Source organism: Homo sapiens, chromosome 17 (assembly GCF_000001405.40).
Source record: "Homo sapiens chromosome 17, GRCh38.p14 Primary Assembly".
NCBI lineage: Eukaryota > Metazoa > Chordata > Mammalia > Primates > Hominidae > Homo > Homo sapiens.
The window spans coordinates 46868191-46889960 of record NC_000017.11 but is presented as its reverse complement, the minus strand read 5'-3'; the positions used below and the strand labels follow the sequence as shown (position 1 = coordinate 46889960).

The 21770-nt window shown below is 52.3% G+C and overlaps 2 protein-coding genes across 4 annotated transcripts in view, besides 3 other annotated features; both read right to left on the bottom strand.

Moving 5' to 3' along the window:
- LRRC37A2 (leucine rich repeat containing 37 member A2) overlaps nt 1-21770 on the bottom strand; it is a 676337-nt gene that overhangs the window by 159168 nt on the left and 495399 nt on the right. The gene's annotated exons all lie outside the window — the stretch shown is intronic.
- Nucleotides 104-398: a silencer, noted in NCBI's record as "tiled region #3811; HepG2 Repressive DNase matched - State 20:ReprD". NCBI's record gives its function as "represses a minimal TATA promoter and a strong SV40 promoter by Sharpr-MPRA in HepG2 cells {active_cell/tissue: HepG2}" and the evidence as "EXISTENCE:reporter gene assay evidence [ECO:0000049][PMID:27701403]".
- WNT9B (Wnt family member 9B) overlaps nt 3223-21770 on the bottom strand; it is a 53550-nt gene continuing 35002 nt past the window's right edge. For 2 of the 3 annotated variants that reach the window (XM_011525178.3, NM_003396.3), the window contains exons 2-4: nt 17188-17444; nt 14595-14860; nt 9401-13716 (exon numbers count right to left, since the gene is read on the bottom strand). In XM_011525178.3, the coding sequence (XP_011523480.1) occupies nt 13243-13716; nt 14595-14860; nt 17188-17444 (997 nt within the window). In that variant the 3' untranslated portion in view covers nt 9401-13242. Of the gene's footprint in view, nt 4928-9400; nt 13717-14594; nt 14861-17187; nt 17445-21770 lie in introns of those variants that run through there. The other variant, NM_001320458.2, reaches the window with a different exon arrangement.
- Nucleotides 11133-11632: an enhancer, noted in NCBI's record as "H3K4me1 hESC enhancer chr17:44955695-44956194 (GRCh37/hg19 assembly coordinates)". NCBI's record gives its function as "activates a minimal SCP1, AML or CMV promoter by ChIP-STARR-seq in naive H9 embryonic stem cells {active_cell/tissue: H9 hESC(naive)}" and the evidence as "EXISTENCE:reporter gene assay evidence [ECO:0000049][PMID:30033119]".
- Nucleotides 12942-13542: an enhancer, noted in NCBI's record as "H3K27ac-H3K4me1 hESC enhancer chr17:44953785-44954385 (GRCh37/hg19 assembly coordinates)". NCBI's record gives its function as "activates a minimal SCP1, AML or CMV promoter by ChIP-STARR-seq in naive H9 embryonic stem cells {active_cell/tissue: H9 hESC(naive)}" and the evidence as "EXISTENCE:reporter gene assay evidence [ECO:0000049][PMID:30033119]".

Genomic DNA, 21770 nt, shown 5'->3' with positions numbered 1-21770 from the left:
CCAGGCATTATTCTAAGCATTTGTTTTAACGAACATGATCCTTGCGATGTAGGTGTGTTAGTATCTCGATCCTCATTTTACAGATGATGTAGAAATAAAGTCACAGAGAGGTCCATCGATAAAGAATGTCAGCCCTGAGTGCAAAGCTGGGGTCTGGTTGCTAGTAGAAGCTGCCTTCTGTTTTCTAGGAGTCAGAAGTCCAAGGTCCCGCTTAGGAGTTCATGAAATGCAACTGACACTTTCAGAATAAACAAGGGCTTGGTGTCTGTGGCAAGGAGGGTGAGGGAGGGCTATGTGGACCCCCTCCATCCAGGGTTGGGAGGGAAGAAAAGGCATGCTCTAATAATCACAGCACAGGTATGGATGACAGGGGACCAAGAACACAGAAGTCAGAGGTCTTAATTAGCCTTTTAGGACTCAGAGGTCCATTTAGCCAACTGGGGGCTGATGGCCATGACCCCTGACAGTTGGCTGGTCTCCACTAAGGCCATGATGAAGCTATGGGTTAAGACGTGACTTCCATGTCCTTCCAAGAAAGGACAGAGGGGACTTGGTCTCCAGCTCTGCTTCCCTGTGGCTAGCTGGCCCCACAGCTCTCTGGGGGTCAGACATGCTGAGCCACCCCCGCCACGCCCAGGGAGGCACTTCCTGCCTGGCTAAGGCAGTCATACCCAGAGGTCCTGATTCTGAAGGGGACATCTCTGAGTGAGTGGTTCATTGCCTCCCCATCCTGCATCTAGATATAGTCAACTCCTGACCATCTGGCCCCCCTGGAAATCAGATTTTCAAAATCTTATTCATGCCTCCATGGGTTCTAAGTCTAGGATACGAATAAAGGTTGAGTTGCACTTAGTAGGCTCTGCAGAGTCAGAAGAAATGGTTCTCTTCCTGCTGCAGGGAAGAGCTGAGCAGGCAAGCAGAGGAAATTTTAGACATGAGAGCTCTGCTTTAGGGTCAGTAAGGGGCTAAGAGGCACCTGGAGTCAAAGCTTGACAATGTGAACTCATGCAGGTTACTTAACCTTTGCATGCCTCAGTTTCTTCATCTGTAAAATGGGGGTAGTGATTACAGTAGCTTGCTCCTGGTAGGGTGGTTGTGAGGTCAAGGATTTAATCAAATCCAAGTGAAGCATTTTGCACAGCACCAGGTGCATTGGTGGTGCTCAGAAACACTGGTTTTCACTGCTATGAACGGTATGCTGCTGCCTTGGGTCTGGGGCAGGGAGAGAGTTCTGTCCCTTCCTAGCATGGGGAAATTTCTTGGTCTGTGACATAAGATGAGCAACCAGACAGTGTGGGGTTGTTTTGGTCCTGTGCTTGACAGACAGCTGATTCTAGAAGAGCCAAGAACCCCCCTTAGTGGGCCACCCTGAGCTTCAAACTTCTTTCTGCCCTCCTGTACCCAGGATTGGATTAGTGTAAACTGTAAAATGCCGCAGCAGTGTTATGAGTTCCTGTCACCAAGGCCTTTCAGAGGCCCAGGAATATATCAGTAGAGTCAGTGGCAGCCTTAGGGTCCCCTCTCCCTAGCCTCTGCCAATGACAGCAACCATAATTGAGGAATAATAATAGCTACCATACAGTAAGCACATCCTGTGTGCCAGGCACTTTCTGGGGACACTTTTAATCCTCCCAGTGACCCTGCAACGTTGGTGTTTATCACCCAGCACCATAAACTTCCATTGACACCTGCATCCCTCTCCCTCCAACTCCCCACCTGACCCACACCTCCCTAAGCTTCAGGCTGTAGCTGGGCTCTCACTTCTCTGGGAAGCTTTCTCTGACATCCTCTAGGCCAGGTCGGTATCCCTTCTCCCTGCTGATGTTCCCATAAGCACACTCCCGCTTGTGAAAACTCATCACATTTTATTTTTATTTATTTTGGATCAGGAATACATTCACATGGTTCAGAATTCAAAAGCAACAAGAAATGGAGTAAAAAGTCTCCCTGCTCTCCCTATCTCTAGCTCCCAGCCACTGAGTTTGGCTGCCCAGGGTGAGTAGGGTTGTCAGTTTCATCACATTGAATAGTGATGACTTGTTTATCTGTCTTCTGTGTTTTAAGAGCAGGGACTCCGCCTGTCTCACTAATTGCTTCATCCCTGGGGCCCAGCACAGTGTTTGGCACATAGTAGGAGTGCTACATGTGTTATCTATCTCTCTCAGAGATTTCTTTCTTTCTTTCTTTCTTTCTTTTGGACAGGGAGTCTCGCTATGTCGCCCAGGCTGGAGTGCAGTGGAGTGATCTTGGCTCACTGAAACCTTCACCTCCTGGGTTCAAGCGATTCTCCTGCCTCAGCCTCCCAAGTGTCTGGTGTTACAGGCATATGCCACCATGCCCGGCTAATTTCTTGTATTTAGTAGAGATGGGGTTTCACCATGTTGGCCAAGCTGGTCTCAAACTCCTGACCTCAGATGATCCACCCACCTCAGCCTTCCAAAATGCTGGGATTACAGGCTTGAGCCACCACGCCTGGCCCTCTCTGAGAGATTGCTATAGAAAGATATCTATATAGAGATTTTTTTTTTTTAATGAATGAGGCTCAGAGAAGAAAGGTGACTTTGCTTGCTTAGTTCTACTCCCAAGACAGTGCTCACTGGGAACTCTGTTTATCTGAATTTTAATGACCACCTGTCCCTTCTTCTTGGACATTTGACCATCCTCTGTGAAATGGATCCCAATTTCAATTTTTTAGGCTTAATTTTTAAATGGGAACATAAACAGTATCCCTCATTAATTATCAGGAGATAGAGCAATGCTATACTTCCAAAGTCCTGTTAGTGCCTGCCCAATCCTGACCTCATTTTACCATGACTCCAACTTTGTGTTAAGGATGTTCTTGCTGGCCGGGCACAGTGGCTCATGCCTGTAATCCCAGCACTTTGGGAGGCCAAGGCAGGTGGATTGCTTGAGCCCAGGAGTTCGAGACCAGCTTGGGCAACATGGTGAAACCCCGTCTCTACTAAAAACACAAAAATTAGCCAGGTATAGTGGTGCACGCCTGTAATCCCAGCTACTCGGGAGGCTGAGGCAGGAGAATTGCTTGAACCTAGGAGGTGGAGTTTGCAGTGAGCTGATATCGCACCACTGCACTCCAGCCTGGGTGACAGAGTGAGACTCAGTCTCAAAAAACAAACAAACAAACAAAAAAAACAGATGCTGTTGCTCACCTGGCCTCACTTTGCCCATCTGTAAAATGTCAAAAGACAAAATGACAATAAATTTTGTTTAAAGATCTTAATAGGCTTTTATTCATGATTCTAGAATTGGGCATCCCTCCGAACCACAGCTTATTCAAAGAACTCCAACCAGCAACATGATCACGCAGTATTTGTAGATAGAAAACAGAAGTGAGGTGTAGATACAGCTTAATTGGTTACAGCATCCTTAATTGAATCACCTGGCCACCTACATTGACAGATGCTCAGCTGCTGTAACTGCCCCAAAACTCAGCTATTTGTTACCACTTTTTGCAACTTAGGAGTATACTCCCAAGTTAATTGCATTTAGCATGAGTGACTCCATATTTGTTTGGTCTGTTGGGTCCATTACAGGAGCACAGTACAAACTAATGGCCTCCTACAAATTTTATTTATTAATTGAAAGGGGCCCAATAGTTCTATGCATCTTTGATGTCTTCTCTCATTTAACCTCCATCCCCACCAATTGATATAGGTTTATGCCTGCAGTAAATGGGATAGTTATAAAGCTAATGCTTCATACCAATGCAACTAGTGCATGAAGTGGGTGAGGACAGCTTTCTGTACTGATATGGGTATCAGCCAGACTGGCTATGTCCCCAGCACTAGCCCAGGCTCAGGGTCAAGTACACACAGCTGTGCATCCTCTGAAGCGCTGGAGGGAGAGAAAGAAGTTCATCTGGGGAAGCGGGTGGAGCTGAGGCAGGGGACCACCTTGGGGAGGGTGGGTTGGCCCAAGCGCCGTCTCTCCCAGGGATCAGCAGGCTGCTTTCCAGCTGGGTTAGCTCATTCCCCACCTCATCTTGCAGAAGCTCCAGGTTCAGGCTTCTGCACAGCTTTGTTCTTGTGGTTGAGGCAGCCAGGGATTCTGAGAGTTGGGAAGGGGAAGCCAGGGGGAATGAAGGGAAGGAAAGGGAGGAGAGAAAAAGGCAAGTAGCAGGGGCAATAAGGAGGCCGTGTGTCAGGGAGGGATGTGGTGCCAGCTACACCAGGAAGCCTGCTATGGCAAGACACTGCCAAGTGAGGGAAATGAGGATGGGTAAACAGTATGGAGAACAAGATTTATAAATTCATTTGTTCATTCATTCATCCAATAAAACAAAAGATGCCAATATTGACAGATGGCTGTCACTCAAAACATACACAAAATGCTAAGGCGGCCGGGCACAGTGGCTCATACCTGTAATCCCAGCACCCTGGGAGACTGAGGCTGGCAGATCACTTGAGACCAGGAGTTCGAGACCAGCCTGGCCAACATGATAAAAGTCCATCTCTACTGAAAATACAAAAATTAGCTGAGCGTGGTGGTGCACGCCTGTAGTCCCAGCTACTTGGGAGGCTGAGCCAAGAGAGTCACTTGAACCTGGGAGGTGGAGGTTGCAGTGAGCAGAGATCATGCCAGTGCACTCCAGCCTGGGTGACAGAGCGAGACTCTGTCTCAAAAAAAAAAATGCTGGCCAGGCGCAGTGGCTCACACCGGTAATCCCAGCACTTTGGGAGGCCGAGGCGGGTGGATCACCTGAGGTCGGGAGTTCGAGACCAGCCTGACCAACATGGAGAAACCTCATCTCTACTAAAAATACAAAATTAGCCAAAAATACAAAATTAGTCAGGCGTGGTGGTGCATGCCTGTAATCCCAGTTACTCAGGCAGCTGAGACGGGAGAATCGCTTGAATCCGGGAGGTGGAGGTTGTGATGAGCTGAGATCTTGCCACTGCACTCCAACCTGCGCAACAAGAACAAGACTTCGTCTAAAAAAAAAAGCTAAGGAAATATAAAAGAGGGAGCAAATAACTATTTGATGGGTTGCAGGAGTGGGGAAGTTGGGGGAGTTCACAAATTTCACTGGAGATATTTGAACCAAGTCAGGAAGCAAATATAGGAGAAGCCAGGCCATAGTCCTCCCCAGCTCCACGGCCTCTCCCTTCCCAGACCTCCCAATCCCAGTCCAGCTGTCGCCTTCACTGGGTCTGAAAGCTGGCCCCGCCTCATACTTGCTGTGTGACCTCAGGCAAGTGGTCTAACCCCTCTGAGCCCCGGTTTTCTCAGCTGCAAAGGAGGGATGACACCAACTTGGAGCGTTGTCATAAGATTCAAATACAACAATGCACACGAGAGGCACTCTGCAGAGCACTTGGTACCTGTATGAAGCCTGCGCAAAACAACTACTGTGGCTGTTGTCAGCACTGGCAGAGCAGCAACTTCATTTACCAAACCCTGGGCCTCTGTCATCAGGCTGGAAAGGAAAGCAGAGGCCATTCCAGGAGTCCCCCATCCCTGGCCCCCAGCACTTGGGGAAACATGAGAAGCAGAGCTTGAGGATCTCCTGTGTGCCCCCTCACGCCCCTTAATCCTTCCTGAACTTGGAGAGGGGGCTGGGTGTGGGGCGGGGGCGGCACCACTGCAACACCTGCGCAGCTCTGACATCTCCCGCCTCTGGGCAGAGAAAGCAATTTCAGAAATGACATGTTGCCAACAAGCAGAAATCAGCTTCTGAATTAAAATGTGTCAGCGTCAGGTGACCCCGGGCTCGGAGGGCTGGCTGCATGAAGACAGCTGAGATTAGAGCCTGTCAGGCTCTGGTGGGGCTGTGTGGGAAGAGGTGGGGGTCCCGGGGGGCTACCGTTGCTCTCCAGGCTTCTGGCCACCCTGGACTTGTTGAGACGTGGGGGCAGGAATTCGGACGCTGGGTCAGGTTCTCCCGTGCCTCTGCCCGGCCTCCACCACTCCACTGCCCACTCTCCATGGCGGGAGGACGGTGGGGCAGGGGTAGGGGCTCAGCTCCCCTGAGACGGCTCCAGCGTAAACACACTAATGGGCCCAAGAGAGCCAGGGAGGAATATGGGCCCCACAGCCCCTGGGGACTTGAGGAGGGATGGGAGTGGGGGGATAAGACGCGTGAGAGGCATTAACCTCCTCTTTGCGGTATGCAGGGTGGGGAGAAAGAGAGAGAGGAGAAGACAAGGAGGACCAAGTGGCAGGACTGGAAGATGCCACCAGTCGCCCTGAATCCTTGCAACTCCCTCATACCCCGTCTCTCTGTCCCCAGGCCGTGCCCAGCACTCCCCGGGAAGAGGCAGTGAAGAAGCTGTTTCATTTCCAGCCCTGCTACTTATTGTGTAGCAAGGGAACCTCTCTGAGCTTTAGTTTCCTCATCTATAAAATGGGGATCATAGGCCAGGCACAGTGGCTCACGCCTGTAATCCCAGCACTTTGGAAGGCCAAGATGGGTGGATCACCTGAGGTCAGGAGTTCAAGACCAGCCTGGCCAACATGGTGAAACCCCGTCTCTACTAAAAATACAAAAATAAGGCCGGGCGTGGGGTAGGCGCCTGTAATCCCAGCTACTCTATAGGCTGAGGCAGGAGACTCACTTGAACCCGGGAGGCGGAGGTTGTAGTGAGCCAAGATTGCGCCATTGCACTCCAGCCTGGGTGACAAAAGCGAGACTCCATCTCACAAAGGAAAAAAAAAAAAAGGCCGGGCGCAGTAGCTCACGCCTGTAATCCCAGCACTTTGGGAGGCTGAGGTGGGCGGATCACGAGGTCAGGAGATCAAGACCATCCTGGCTAACGTGGTGAAACCCCGTCTCTACTAAAAATACAAAAACAAAATTAGCCGGGCGTGGTGGCGGGCACCTGGAGTCCCAGCTACTCGGGAGGCTGAGGCAGGAGAATGGCATGAACCTGGGAGGCGGAGCTTGCAGTGAGCAGAGATCATGCCACTGCACTCCAGCCTGGGAGACAGAGGGAGACTCTGTCTCAAAAAAAAAAATGGGGATCATGGTTGTATGGACCCCTGGGGTTGCCCAGAGGGGAGTATGAGGAAATGGCCTGCACAGGAATGCCTGTGTGGGGTGGAGCCTGCACAGAGCCACCTATTGGAGTGCTGGACACCGTGCATGCCAGCCATCTCTTTGCTTGTCTCTCCCCTTGTCTGGGACCTCCCTGAAGGCTGGACCTAGTCTCATTACCATGGCATCTAGGACCCTGTCACGTGCCTCGTGCACCATAGGCCACCAATCCGTGTTTGCTGCATGATCGGTTGCAAGAAGGAACTCCAGGTGAGAGATGGAGCGAAGTCAAGAATCGGAAAGAAATGGGAAGGGTGGGGGCAGGCATAGGATGCTTCCCGCCAGTGCCTCTCCCTCCAGAATGTCCCCATCCCCATCATGGGTGAGCCTGTAATCCCAGCTACTCTAGAGGCTGAGGCAGGAGAATCGCTTGAACCTAGGAGGTGGAGGTTGCTGTGAGCCGAGATCGCACCACTGCACTCCAGCCTGGGCAACAAGAGCAAAACATCCTGTGGCTCCTTACAGCATGCACAGAATAGGATACACATCACCCAAGCAGCTTATTGCCAAAATGTTTAACCTGAATCCAAGTACAAGGAAACGATCAGGCAAATCTCAGTTGAGAGGTATTCCACGAGACATGCAGCCTGGACTCTTCAAACTATCACTGTTATGAAAGCAAAGAAAGAGGGGGACTGTTCTAGATTACAGGGAGCTGGAGAGACATGAAAACAACGTGCAATGCCTAATTCTTGAGTGGATCCTGGGCCAGGAAAACATGTTTTAAAAATTTTTTAATTTTAATTTTTTAGAGACAGGGTCTCACTCTGTCGCTCAGGCTGGAAGGCAGTGGTGCAATCACAGCTCACTATATCCTCGAACTCCTGGGCTCAAGCGATCTTCCTGCCTCGGCCTCTCCAATCGCTGGGATTATGGGTGTGAACCTGTGCCTGGCCAGAAAATAATGTTATAAAGGACATTTTGAGGGACAATTGGGGAAGTCTGAATATGGACTATGTAGTAGATAATTTTTGTCAATGTTACATCTCTTAGATGTGGTGATGGCCTTGTGGTTCTGTTGGAGAATGTTCTTGTCCTTAGGAGATACATGATAAAGTATGTAAGTGTCTTGGTGTCTGCAAAGGTCTCACAAGTGATTCAACAAGATAGATATTGCAAATGCAAAGACAGAAAGCACATGTGGCTGTTTTTAAAGGAGGAGGGATATTGCGGGTAGGGTACCCACCTAGTGACTGTCTCAACAAGCCCCGGTCCTCCTGGAAGATGGTGGCATTGAGCAGCTGGAGGTGGAGGGGTCTGCGGGCCTGTTTGGGAACTAGATTATGAGCAGGAACAAAGTAAGGCTCAGATGAGGGCAGGAGGAGGTGAGGATGGTGTATGGTAGAGAGAATATGGGGTTTGGAGGCAAAAGGCCTGGATCCGCTTGCTAGCGATATAGCCTTTGGTAAGTCACTTAACCATTTTGTGTCTCAATTCCCCTATCTGTAAAAAAAGAAGAAGGGTGTCCACCTTGTGAGGTTCAAGAGAGAAAATAGATGAGAAATCCCTTGATAAACTGGAGCCTGCTGCTGCATGTGGACGTGTCTGTCATTACTCAGAGCCAGCTGGTCTCCAGGCCCAGGAACACTGGGTAGAAGGAGCATGTTAGGACGGGGATGCTGGTGGAAATGTAGGCCCCTGCAGGGCTGGACTGTGGGCCCACCTCTGCCTCCCGCCCTGGGGAGCCCAGTTAAGGCAATGTGGACCCCAGCAGGGCTGAAGAACTGGGGCAGGGCAGGCCTGAGCCAGGAGACAGGCACTCTCTGCTGTGCTTGGCTCAGAAAGAGGCCTCCTCTCCCATCAGACCCCCAGGAGGATCCTGGTGGGCGAGGCCTCCCAAAGCATGTTGGGAAGGAACTGTGGCCAGAAAAGGGACACAGGATTCGTGTGTAAATGACCCAAACCACTGCATGGCTGTGCTTCTCATTTCTCCTATTAGACTGTAGGTCCCTGAAGGCCCCTGGTTGGCTTCATCCCGCCCCACCCTGAGCCATGCTGCTTGCCATAGCATGAGGGCTCCAGAAATGCTTATCAACTCCAGGAAGGATGCAGGCTCTGGCCTGTCTGAATTGGTGTGTAATCCAGGATGGATTATTTCCTTCCTCTAGGCCTTAGTTTACCCAGAATCAATAAAATGGGGCGATCCATCCCTGCCCGACCTATACCAGTGTACAGAGGAAAAAAATCCCATACTTTGGAGGCCAGGAGATCTGTGTTCCAATCCTGGCCCCACTGCCTGCCAGTTGCAATGAGGAGGCTTCTCATCTCACAACCTCCATTTCCTTATCCATTACGGGGACCATGTCCAATGTGCAAAGTTATTGCAATAAATTGAGACAAAGTAAATGCAAATAACTGGCATGTCATTTATTGGTTTATTGTCTTTCTCACCCACTAGGATGTCAGCCCCATGAGGCAGAGACTTGGTCCTGTTCCTTGCTGCACCAAGCACCCAGGATGCTGCCTGGTGCTCAATAAGAGATCCCTAAATAATCATTGGTTGAATAAATGGACATAAGGGGTGCTCAATAAGTGATGGCTTCCATTGTTATTCTAAAGTGTCCTGAGACAGAAAGCATTTGAAGTTCATGGTTGTTGAGAAAGGAAAGGTTCAAAAGCAAGTAATGTCCAGGGTTGGCATGGGGCTGTCTGTCTGCCAGGTGATGAAGGGTACCAGGAAAGCTGGGCTTATCTAGACCAGGGGACAGGACTATGTGCTCATGAGAGGCAGGCAGGGGCATCCATGAGCAACGGGGGCACTTGGGGCATCCTGTCCATTAGACTCCCTCACTCTAGCTGCCTGCAGGAGGACATGCAGGCCCAGTCTGCCAGCGCAGCTGACTTTTGCAAAAGCAGCCAGAAATCCAGTGGAAAACAATTCATTTTTACAAGCAAAACACAAATGAGAGCAATCAAAATTCATCTGTAGGTTGGGAGGGGCCCAGTGGTGTAGCCCAAGCTTCTTGGGCAGTGTGGGCAGAAGGACCCCTTGGAGTGGCCTCCATGGGTTCCTGGTCTCTCCAGCCTTCTCAGGCAGCCAAAGCCCCTGAGACATGGGACTCCACTTGGGGGAAGTGCCAACATGCCATCCAGATCCAAAAGGCTGGGATCACAGCCTGGGAAGGAACTGCTTCCCTGAGTTCTTGGGCTCACAGTGGTATCCAGGCTTTGGGGCTCCTGGGCTCAGAGCAGGTCAGCCCGTAGTGCCTGGTCTATGGAGATGTTCAGTAAATATTCATTGAACAAGTCTCTTAGGTGTGACTTTGAGCACAGCTCTCCATCTCTGGACCTCATCTATAAAATGGCCACAGTAATGTGGCCCCACCTACCTCACAGAGATAACGGAGAAATCAAGTGAGATGAAAGGGGTAAAAGTTTTTGTTTCTAAATAGCAAAGTGCTTTACAAATGCCAGGTGTGGGAATTCTCGTTGTCATTATCATTATGAGTAAGACACTTTTGCCAGAGCAGAAGAAGGGGGCCTGGACCCAGAAGGGCAGAAAATCTACAAAAACATCACAAGGAGGGTCTGGATGGAGCCCACCAGGGCTCATCACAGAGCGGACATGTGCTTACCAGCTCCGAGACAGACCCAGTCATGGAATACAGGTTTGTCCTCCTTCCCAGCGACCCGGCCTCCTGCTCAGTGGGGGACCCGGTCAGGTCAGGCTGTATCTCCCCAGACAGAGGGTTTCCGGGAAAATACACAAACCCCACCTGTGCTGTCTGTGAAATATAGCAACTATATAAATAATATAAATACTTTCTCATATATCTTAGCTATATAAATTATTCTCCTTTGCTCTAAAAACTATATATTTGAGGTAGACAAAAATACCCTGTGAGCATTTCCCTTAAAGCTGTAGAATGAGGGGTCAGTGGTCACTCTAGTCCCCAGGGGCCCCAAGAGGGCCGAGGTGGGTCTTCAGGGGTAACTGGAAAAGAAAGGGATGAGAGCAAGGAAGAAGAGAGGGAGAGAGACAGACAGAGAAGACCCCACAAGCCAAGGAGCCCTCAGAACCTGCACTGTGCCATTGACTTGGGGTGTCCATGTTAGCAGCCAGCCACTGCCTAGATGCCTTAGAGCCTGCCCTTTGCCCTCCCACGACCCTGGCACTGCCAGCCATGAAGTCAGAATGCAGGTGGCATGTTGGTGGATCAGGGTGCTCTGGCCTCCACGTTGCTCCCAGGCCCCCTGCTCTGCCAGTGAGGTCCCTGCTGCCTTACGCCCAGCACTGAGCCTGGGTGGAGGCAGAGTTGGGGTCTCGGAGGAGCAAGATGGATTGGGAAGGCAGAGAAAATCTCCATGCTGTGGGGAAGTGGAAGAAAGGAGAAAACCAGCCCTCTCCCCATTTTTCTCCTGCTGCCAAGGTGTGGGCCAGGTGCTTGGGTCAGCAATGTCATTTTAACGAGAGGGGCTCAGGTCAGTTTGGCTTCTCAGCCGGGCCTCTGCAGTCAAAAATCCTTCCAGCATCCAGCAGACTGCCCTGATCCACTGGAGACTGGGCAGCTCCTCCTCGCCCTTGGAGGTCTCAGGGAGTTGGCCAGGGCACAGTCAGCGGGCCTTTGTCCTGGAGCTGGCACAGGCGAGGTTTCTGAGCATTCAGCTGATTCTGAAATTTCCTGTGTTGGTGAAGGGTCAGCAACTCTAGGTTTAGGGAGAAAGGAAGCTGACAGATGGGCGTGGCAGGGCCAGCAAAGTGGCCAAGGGCTTCCCGAAAGAAGTCACTTCCTCCTGGGTGGCATCGGGCCCCACTCTGGGGAAGTACAATGCCTCCAGCAAGGGGACCCCTGCAAGGTCTTCATCCTGAACAAGAGAGGCATGTGCAACAGGAACCCCCAGCCTGGTCCAGGGGCTGTGCATCCATGTGTGCCTGTGTGGAGGTACCAGTCTCTCCTCCTTTCACAGAGGGCCTTGGCAGGTGCTGCTGAAAATGTCCACAGGATCTGAGGAAATTATCAAAGTCACGTCTCCTCCTCAAGTAAGAGCCAAAGTGAGGGCCAAGTGAGAGGCCATTAGGAACTGAAGGAGGCTACCCAGGAGCCAGGCTTAGCAAGGACTCAAGCACCTATAACCCCAGCCAGGGCAAAAGCCTTAACTAGATGAGCAGCCACAAGAATAGAAATGTAACTTCAAGTCATAGCTCGTGAGCCAGCTGTTCTTCAGTATTGTGAACTCAGCTGGTATGGGGGTGTCACAGACCAGGCAGGCCCCAGCCACAGGAAGTCACCAAAGCTCACTCAAGAGCCAGCTGAGAAACTGAGCTCGCCACGTCACTGCCAGGCACCAGGAAGCTGTTGCCCTCCTCCTCTGCGCTGGGAGTGAAGATTCCTTTGGCCAGCAGGGAACACAGGGAGGGGCCGTTGTCTCCCTGTTCAACCTCAGGTGCACTGAGTCCCGCCTTGGTGGCTAGTTCTCCCACCTGTCTTACCTGCACTGGTGGTAGTTTTGAGCACGGCTGGGTGAGTGTGCATAACCCAGCTCTCGAGACAAGAATGAGGCCTCAGCGGAGGCATATTTGAAAAGCCAAATCAAGGACACAGGGCTCCAGGGCACAGATCTCACTCGGGTCCACTCAAGCACAGAAAGCTCTCCTTTCTCTGAACGGATGGCTTCTACCACCTGTGCTTTCTCCCCATCTCTGGCACAGCAAAACCAGGGGAGTGGTGGAGGTGTGTGACACCTGGAGCCCACTGCACCTGAGCAGGGCCACAGGACCCGATTGACCCATCTCAGCCAGGCTCCCGCCTTCACTTCCAGCTGGCACTGCCTGCCTTGGCATTCCTAGCCCAGCAGTTCACCTCCCAAGAACATGCTGGCTCCAAGCCATTCATCCCAGGAAGCAAGATGGAATAGCCCCTCTCTCCCGTCCAAAATTTCAGTCCTGCTGTGCTCTTGGTCTCCCTTATTTCCCTCCATGTCTTTCTCACTCTGCCCTCCTCTCCAAGTCCTCAACAAGGTTGGGGATGCTTGGGTTAAGGGAGGAGGCTTTGCTTCTCTTTGTTGAGTATCGAGGGAGGCAAAAGGCTGGCCAAGGAATGGTGGTGAGTGGCACACTCGTGTGCATTGGCACACATGCCGGTTTATGCATGCATGTGATGACAGTCTGCCCAGAGGGCCGGCTGGGCAGCTTGAAGGGTGCCACAGGAGGTCCTGGCAGTGCCAGACTGGCTTGCTGGGCAGTAGGCCTAGTGCTTGCAGGTGTACACAAGCTCCTCCTGCACACATTGCTGGCACTCCACGTAGCAGCACCACTGCACCTGGCAGTGGCAGGAGAAGGCCACCAGGCGGCTCTGGGTGTCATAGCCCCGCCCGCAGCACAGGCTGCTGCAGCTGGCCTCCCGGGAGCACACCCTACCTGCTGTGCCAGGTGAGTACTTGCTGGGCCGGCAGAAGCTGGGTGAGTCCTCCATGTACACCAGGTCCCCAGACCTTGGGGCCAGGCCTTTGGTGAGGCTGCCCTGCCTGGCAGGGGCCCACAGCTCTAGGCGGCCCAAGGCCTCATTGGTGGCACTGGACACCTTGACAGCCGAGTCATAGCGCAGTTTCAGCACCTGGCCCGTCTCACGGAACGGGGAGAGCTGCTTCCAGCAGGTGCGCACGGCACAGGAGCCTGATACGCCATGGCACTTACACGTGGTCCTGAGGCCACTCTTCACAGCCTGTGGGGGAGGCAGAACAGAGGCGTGGTCAGAGGCCTGGGCCCAGCAGCCAGAGCCTGCCCCCAGAGCACCAACCCCAGCAGGGCAGAGGCAGGAGAATGGGAAAGAGACCCAGGGTCTCAGCCCCAGCTCCTCCCCTTGGCCTGGAGTTCTTGTGGAATAGACAACTTACGCGACTGAACACAGCAGTCCCAGTTCACACCAACTGAGTGACTGAACACAGCAGCCCCGGTTCACACCAACTCAGTGACTGAACACAGCAGCCCCGGTTCACACCAACTCAATGATTGAACACAGCAGCCCCGGTTCACAACTCAGTGATGACAACTCAGAACTTAATCTCATAAACAGCTAGAGCACTGGTGTCTCCCAGCCTCCTCCCCTCAATAGACCAAGATACTTTTCACCCTCCAGACCTCCCACTACTGTGTAACCTCAGCCCCTTCCCTTCTCTGGGCCACTTCCATCTTCCCACCCATAAAATGGAGAAGTGGGCAGTTGCTCTAGATGGAGGTTTTCAAACAATGTTGGGCTTCCAGGACCTCCAGGAAGGCCTGGTCCTTGGAATGGAGACCCCTCTCCAAACATGTCCCTGCTTCACCAGACCTAGTCCTAAGCCTGGCTCCCACTGGTGACCACTGCTTCCACCAATGACACTCATGACCCTTCCATGCTTCCGCTGTGTTCCTGGCACCCAGTCACAGCCCAGAGTAGATGCCAAGGGAATGCTGGTTGAAGACGTGAAGTTCATCCTGCCTTTATGAAGTTCACGGCTCTTCATGTATTTTGGGGAGTGGGGTGCTGGCCTCCTTCAAGCCATGCTCCCCAGCTGTGTACCCTGGTGGGAAGGCACTGCGGGCAGCCAGGGACATGCTCACCTTGATGCCCACGTGGGTATTGTGGGCGTCTGCCCGTGCCCGCAGGTCCTTGTTTCCTCTCTTGGACCCCAGGAAGTTGCTCAGAAACTTGGTGCTGTACTTGAGGTTGTCACCGCACACGCCCCACTGCCAGGCCTGCCGGCTCTCCAGCCCCGGAGAGTCATCACAGGTGCAGCGCTCCATGCGCCCAGCGCTGCAGGCCCGGGCCAGGGTGTGGGTGAGGGCGGCAGAGGACACCGCGTACAGGAAAGCTGTCTCTTTGAAGCCTGGATCGGGCACCCAGGGGCATAGGGAGGGAGGAAAGGGGGAAGAGAGGAAAGGAGGAAGCTTAGAGGTTGCCTGCCGCCCTCTGAGGGCCAGAGGCGGTGGTGGCAGCGCTGTGATGGGCAGGACAAGAGAATGTGGCTTGAGGACACAGCTCCGGGTGGGTCTCCCTGTCAACTGCCCCTTAAATTCTGACTGCAAGTTGCCATTTAAATGGAACTTCCAGGCTGGGCACAGTGGCTCGTGCCCCTAATCCCAGCACTTTAGGAGGCCAAGGCGGGCGGATCATTTGAGGTCAGGAGTTCAAGACCAGTCTGGCCAATATGGTGAAACCCCGTCTCTACTAAAAATACAAAAATTAGCCGGGCATGGTGGTACATGCCAATATTCCCAGCTACTCAGGAGGCTGAGGCAGGAGAATCACTTGAACCCGGAAGGTGGAGGTTGCAGTGAGCTGAGATTGCGCCATTGCACTCCAGCCTGGGTGACAGAGGGAGACCTTGTCTCAAAAAAATTTTTTTAATTTATAAATAAATAAATAAATGGAATTTACAAATTCACTATGGAGTATGTTCCCAGATTCCCAGAGGGCAGCAGGCCAGGGGCTACGGCCTTCACCTCTCAGAGAAGAACACTGAGATGCAAAGAGAAGCTACTCAGACACCTGGCGTAGGCACAGTTGGGGCTAAACCTGCCATTTTGACTCCAGGTCGGTGTATGACCATTTGGATGGGCCCATTTCTGAGGCCCCTGAGATAAGCCCCATGGGCTTCCTATGACACATGATGGTTCTCAAATGTCATTCTCTGCTACCCACTGTGGAATAGACCCAATGATACAGTGACCTTGAGTCTCCTGGCTGACTTGCCTCAGACTGACCATCCCACCCACTCCAGAACCACCGACACTCCTCTCTGCTGGGTGTGGCCCAAACCTGGCCTCCCACCAGCTCACTACTTCCTGCCTGCCCTCCAGTGCATCTGGGTGCTGGTGATGTCCCGAGAGAGACACAGAGAGAGGCCATTAGCTTGGCTGCAGACCGTGGAGAGCAGCTGGCCTAGGAGGGGCCTGGCTGCCCTGTACAGCATCACTGCATTTTTTTTTTTTTTTTTTTGAGACAGAGTCTCATTCTGTCTCCCAGGCTGGAGTGCAGTGACACAATCTTGGCTCACTGCAACCTCCACCTCCCGGGTTCAAGCAATTCTCCTGCCTCAGCCTCCCAAGTAGCTGGGATTACAGGCTCCTGCCACCATGCCAGCTAATTTTTGTATTTTTAGTAGAGATGGGGTTTCACCATTTTGACCACGCTGGTTACAAACTCCTGACCTCGGCCTCTCAAAGTGCTGGGATTACAGGTGTGAGCCATGGCAACCGGCCAACTGCAGTGTTTAAATTTTTGTATTTTTAGTAGAGACGGGGTTTCATCATATTGGCCAGACTGGTCTTGAACTCCTGACCTAAAGTGATCCACCCGCTTCGGCCTCCCAAAGTGCTAGGATTAGAGGCACAAGCCACTGCGCCCAGGCTAGAAGTTCCATTTAAATGGCAACTTGAGTCAGAGTTTAAGGGGCAATTGACAGGGAGACCCACCCGGAGCTGTGTCCTCAAGCCACATTCCCTCATCCTTCCCTGTCAAAAGCCCTTTCCCCTTGGCAAGGGAGTCACATGGTGACCTGTGTTCTCCCTTCCAGACTGCATGCTTCCCGAGGGTAGCTGGGTCTGGTTCAGCTCTGAACCTCCAGGATCTGGCACAGTGCCTGGCTCACTATGGGCCTCCATGGATGCTTAGTGGGTGGGTGGAGTGGGGAGGGAGGTAGAATGGGAGTGGAAGGGAAGGAGGGACTGATGGATCGATGGATGTGACAAACAAAGGGACAGATAAAGGAGTGAACAAATGCATCGCCTGGCTCGTGTCATCGGGCCTGGAATCAGCTGCCGCCCATCCTCACGTCTTCATGTGCCTTGTTTCGTGTGTGTGTGTGTGTGTGTGTGTGTGTGTGTGTGTGTGTGTGTGTGAAGAGGCAGAGGGAGACAACTGGGGGACCCCATCTTATCTGTGAGCTCCTCCAGGAATAGGCTTGTGTCTCCTCCTCTCTTGGATCTTCCTTGCTCCTCTGCTCCCCCAAACCTGAGGCTGGGCCACAGCTGGCCTTCAACTGCCCCTCATTAACTCTTGTGACTCTTCTCATTTGGGACCGTGCTAGGGCAGGAAGGGCAGTGTGGCCTGGGCACGGGAGCCAGGAAAAAGGAAAGGGCAGCCTCTCCCAGCCTCCTCCTCCCTGAAGGCTTCTTCCCCCAGCCCTCCCCGTCCCCTAGCCCTCCTCCCCACCTCTCTTGAGCAGGCCCATCCTGCCCTCCAGGCTACAGTTCCAGCGCTCATGCCGGAACTGAAACTGGCACTCAAGCAGGCCGAGGTGCGCAGCATCCCTCAGGGTCTCAGCCAGGCCGGGCTCCCTCCGGCAGAGCTGCTTCTGCCGCCGGGACAGCTTCAGCAGGTCACACTGCTTCAGGTGGGCCCCGCCCTGTGCCGGGGCTGCCGCAGTGCCCAATCCTGGGAAGGGCGTCAGGACTTCCCGCCCGGTCAGGCTAGAGAGAGCGAGAGGAGGGAGACAGGTGAGCCTTGGGGATGGTGGTGAGGGGCAAATGAAGGGAAGGGGCCTCCTCAGGGGCTTCATTTACTGCCCTTCTGGGCAGCAGGCTGACCCGCTGGAGGTCCCGTCCCCATTTTACAGATTAGGAAACCAAGGTTCATGTAACAAAGGTTGCTGCAGGACCTTAAACCTGTTTTCCAGATTCCGGTCTCTGCTCTTCTTATCCACCCTATTTTCCTATTTCCCTATTGGCCCAGTTAGAAAAATCATCTGGGGTGCTTATTAAAAATACGCTTTCCCAGGATCCATGCTGGGCAATTCTGGGTCTATTGGTTTGGAATTGGGCCTGGGAATCTGTACATTTACCACAGTCCCTAGGCAGCTTTTGTGATCCGGGAAGTTTGGGAAATAATGCACAGAGTATTGGTGGCTGCCTGGCCAAGAGAGCCACATTCCTGAGAGGGGGCAGGCAGAGGGGATGTGGACATTGAGCGGACACCCAGCCAAGGTCCCCTGACATCCCTCTCTCCCTTACATTATGCTGCTGCCCAAGTAATCCTGTACCAATCTAACATGTTTCCATAATTCCCAGATAGACCTTCAACCATCTGACCACCTGGTGCCTGGTACAAACAGATGCCTGGGGAGAGAAGGGGATGGAAGGAAAGAGAAGGGAAGGAAGGAAGGACTGATGGATGGTTAGATGAAGGTGAAGGAGCTGAATTCCCATCAGGCCATCAATCCCAGACTTCTTGTTCTCCTAGATTGAAAGTTCATCGATTCTGGAGCCAAGCTACCAAATTCTAAGGCTGATGTTCTAGCTATGCAATCTTGACACCTTGGTTTTTTCCCTTCTGGAAACTGGGCAGAGTGATCTTCTCTACCTCCTAGGGTTGGTGGGAGGATTATATGAAATGGACTAACCACAGTGCCTGGGACAAGCAGGCCTACCTTCCTGCTAGCTGGAGCTTCCCAAACTTCCCTCATTTTGCAAGATGCTTTACTCTCCAGCTAAGCAGAGTCTCCCCTTTGTCCAGATGAGGAAACAAAGGATTTACGAGGGGGCAGTGACTGGACTGGTCATACAACAGATCAGCAGCAGGGTGGGAATTGGAATTAGAGTTCGTCTTCCCTCTTCCCAGAAGCTCTCTGTGAGATGGCTCTGCTGGTTCAAAATGTTTGCTGTCCTATATCCTGGTGCCCCCAGTGTGGGTGGAATATACATCATTCCAGGACCCAGCCCAAGAGAAGTAACCCTGTTCTGGGATATCCTGGCCTCATAGCCAGGGTAAAAGATCAAAGGTGGGCTGGGCACAGTGGCTCACACCTGTAATTCCACACTTTGGGAGGCTGAGCAGGTGGATCGCTTGAGTCCAGGAGTTTGAGAGCAGCCTGTGTGACAGCAAAACCCTGTCTCTACTAAAAATAGAAAAATTATGTGGGCATGGTGGCACACACCTGTAGTCCCAGCTACTTGGGAGGCTGAGGTGGAAGGATAGCTTGAGCTCGGGAGGTGGAGGCTGCAGTGAGCTGAGATCGCATCACTGCACTCCAGCCTGGGAAACAGAGCAAGACCCTATCTCAAAAAAAAAAAAAAAAAAAAAAAAGCAAAGGTGGAAGCAGGCAATGTCTCTTAGAGCTCCTGCTTGGATGTGGCACTTGCCACTGTTGCTCATGTGCCACTGGCCAAGGTAAGTCCTGTGGTCAAGCCAGGAGTGGTCAGAGAAGCCCATGTTCCTCTGAGCCAAGGGCACAGCTCTCCTCTTTGGAGTCACCTGCCTTAGCCAGGACATCTGGCTGGAGGCCATGCCCTCTCTGTATGCCCCAGAAGTTGGAAGCCTCACCAGAGGGTATGCGGCCTGGCCAGGCCCCAGGTGCCCTCAGAAATCACCTGTAGATTCCACACCCATCAGGTGCAGTCAACCCATCATGGAGCATATCTCCGAAACCTCCGAGCAGAGACAGATGCTATCGGGCTCCCGTTGGCCTAGCCTGGCCCTGGGCTCCTCTCCCAGACAGGGTGAGGGCAGGGACCCGTTAATCATTAATCTGGGGGCAAATGGGTAATTTTCCAGTCCACCAGGTCTACACCCAAACCCCTCCCTGCAGCCTGGCAGGAAATCCTCAGAGTTTGACCCTTGGCAGGTCCAGAGAAGAACTGGATGTCAACTCCAGCTGAGGAGGCCACGCCTTGACTGGCTTCCAGTGTGGAGGGCAGCTTGGGGGCTGCAGCTACCTTGCCCTCAAATGTCCTCCTTCTCACACCGAGGGCTGGTGTGAGTGGCGACTTCTGCTCACACAATTCCTGTGTTTCAGAAACTGGACCTCCCTGATAGCAACTGATTGACAGAGGGGAGAGCAAGCAGGGAGTGATGGAAATTTTGGCCAATGAAGCTGCATATCCTTCAAGACCTGCCTCAAATGCCATTTTAAGAATAATAGCTATGATTATTATATCATTATAGCTACAGTATATGTCATATGATATGACATGATATATAACATTTTTTTTTTTGAGACAGTCTTGCTATGTGGTCCAGGCTAGAGTGCAGTGGTGTGATCTCAGCTCACTGTAACCTCCACTTCCCGGGTTCAAGCAATTCTCCTGCCTCAGCCTCCCGAGTAGCTGGGACTACAGGTGTGCGCCACCATCCCTGGCTAATTTTCATATTTTTAGTAGAGACGGGGTTTCACCATGTTAGCCAGGCTGGTTTCGAACTCCTGACTTCAAGTGACCTGCCCGCCTCAGCCTCCCAGAGTGCTGGAATTACAGACGTGAGCCACTGCACCCTGCCCAAGCTGTGTTCTTGTCTGGGACTCCCATGTAGTGTGGAGCGAAGGCTCAAAGTTGGTTTGTCTAACTAAATGCATCATCCTTGATTATGACCTCTGACATGTGAAGAGTGCCAGAATTCCCTAGGCTGCACTTGGGAGCCAGACCCAGCAAACCCCTCCACTCATTCAACAGGCATCTGGTTTTTGTTGGTTTGTTCATTTTTGTTTTCGTTTTTGGTGCTTCTGGCATGGAGTGGGTGGAGACCAGGGACGCTGCCCAGCACTCTGCAGTGCCCAGAACGGCTCCACTCCAACCACAATGTCCGCGATGCCCAGGGGAAGAGACCCTGGAGGGAGCAATGGGTCTCAAACGGTGCCCAGCTCTGCATGGCCAGTGTTGCCTTGGAGCTCTGTGGAATGCAAATCCTCAGGCCCCACCCCAGAGGCATCTGTTTTTTAAATTTCATCTAATGGACCCTGAGATTGATGGCTCAGAGAGTCCAGTATCAAGTCGGTTAATTTTATTAGTGGTAATGACACTTAGTAGCGATTAATGACCAGGAAAGGTAGCCAACCGCACAGAGGCCTCAGGCCACACCGGGCCCTGGTCTGCCCAGGGCTGCTCTCAAAGAAGGCTCCCTGGCACTGCCTCGGGAACCCCACAGGGCCCATGAAGACAGCCTGGGAGGCCTCAAAGACCCAGTTTCCCTCTGTTTATTTTCTGTGTTGCAGTTTGGGATCGTATTTCCTTTGAAGAAATAGTACCATGACATCATATTTAGAAAATGACCATCTATTTTCCTCAACAGTGAATTATCCGACACATGCTCAGCCCATGGCTTCTGCTGGGAAGGTATCTTCCTAGACCCCAGAATAATTCTGGGTGTGGCAGGCTTCAGCCTGCTCAGAGGTCAGCAGGAACAACGTCATCCCCTGGAAGAAGTCATACTGTTTGGCATCCCAGCCCTGCAGACACCACTCACTGGGTCCCTCTGTGAAATCTCAATTACCCACAGTTAGCTGAGTGCCAAGGGGGTAAGATGGACAACTGGAGAAATTCAAGTGGGCTTCCTTAGTCTTATGAACCCAGAAAAATGTGTTTATTTTGGTGTTTTTGTTTTGTTTTGTTTTGTTTTGTTTTTTAATCGAGTCTCACTCCATCACCCAGGCTGGAGTGCAGTGCTGAGATTTCGGCTCACTGCAACCTCTGCCTCCCGGGTTCAAGCAATTCTCCTACCTCAGCCTCCCGAGTAGCTGGGATTATGGGCACGTGCCACCACGCCCAGCTATTTTTTTTGTGTATTTTTAGTAGAGATGGGGTTTCGCCATGTTGGCTAGGCTGGTCTTGAACTCCTGACCTCATGTGATCCGCCCACCTTGGCCTCCCAAAGTGCTGGGATTACAGGCATGAGCCACCACGCCCAGCCAAATATGGGGGTCTTAATGAAGATGCTGCCTTATGGCCAATGAGATGCTATCAGATCAGTTAAACAAGTAACCAGGGTTCTGAACTAAAGGGCAGAGGAAGGGTTGTTTGCCAACTTGC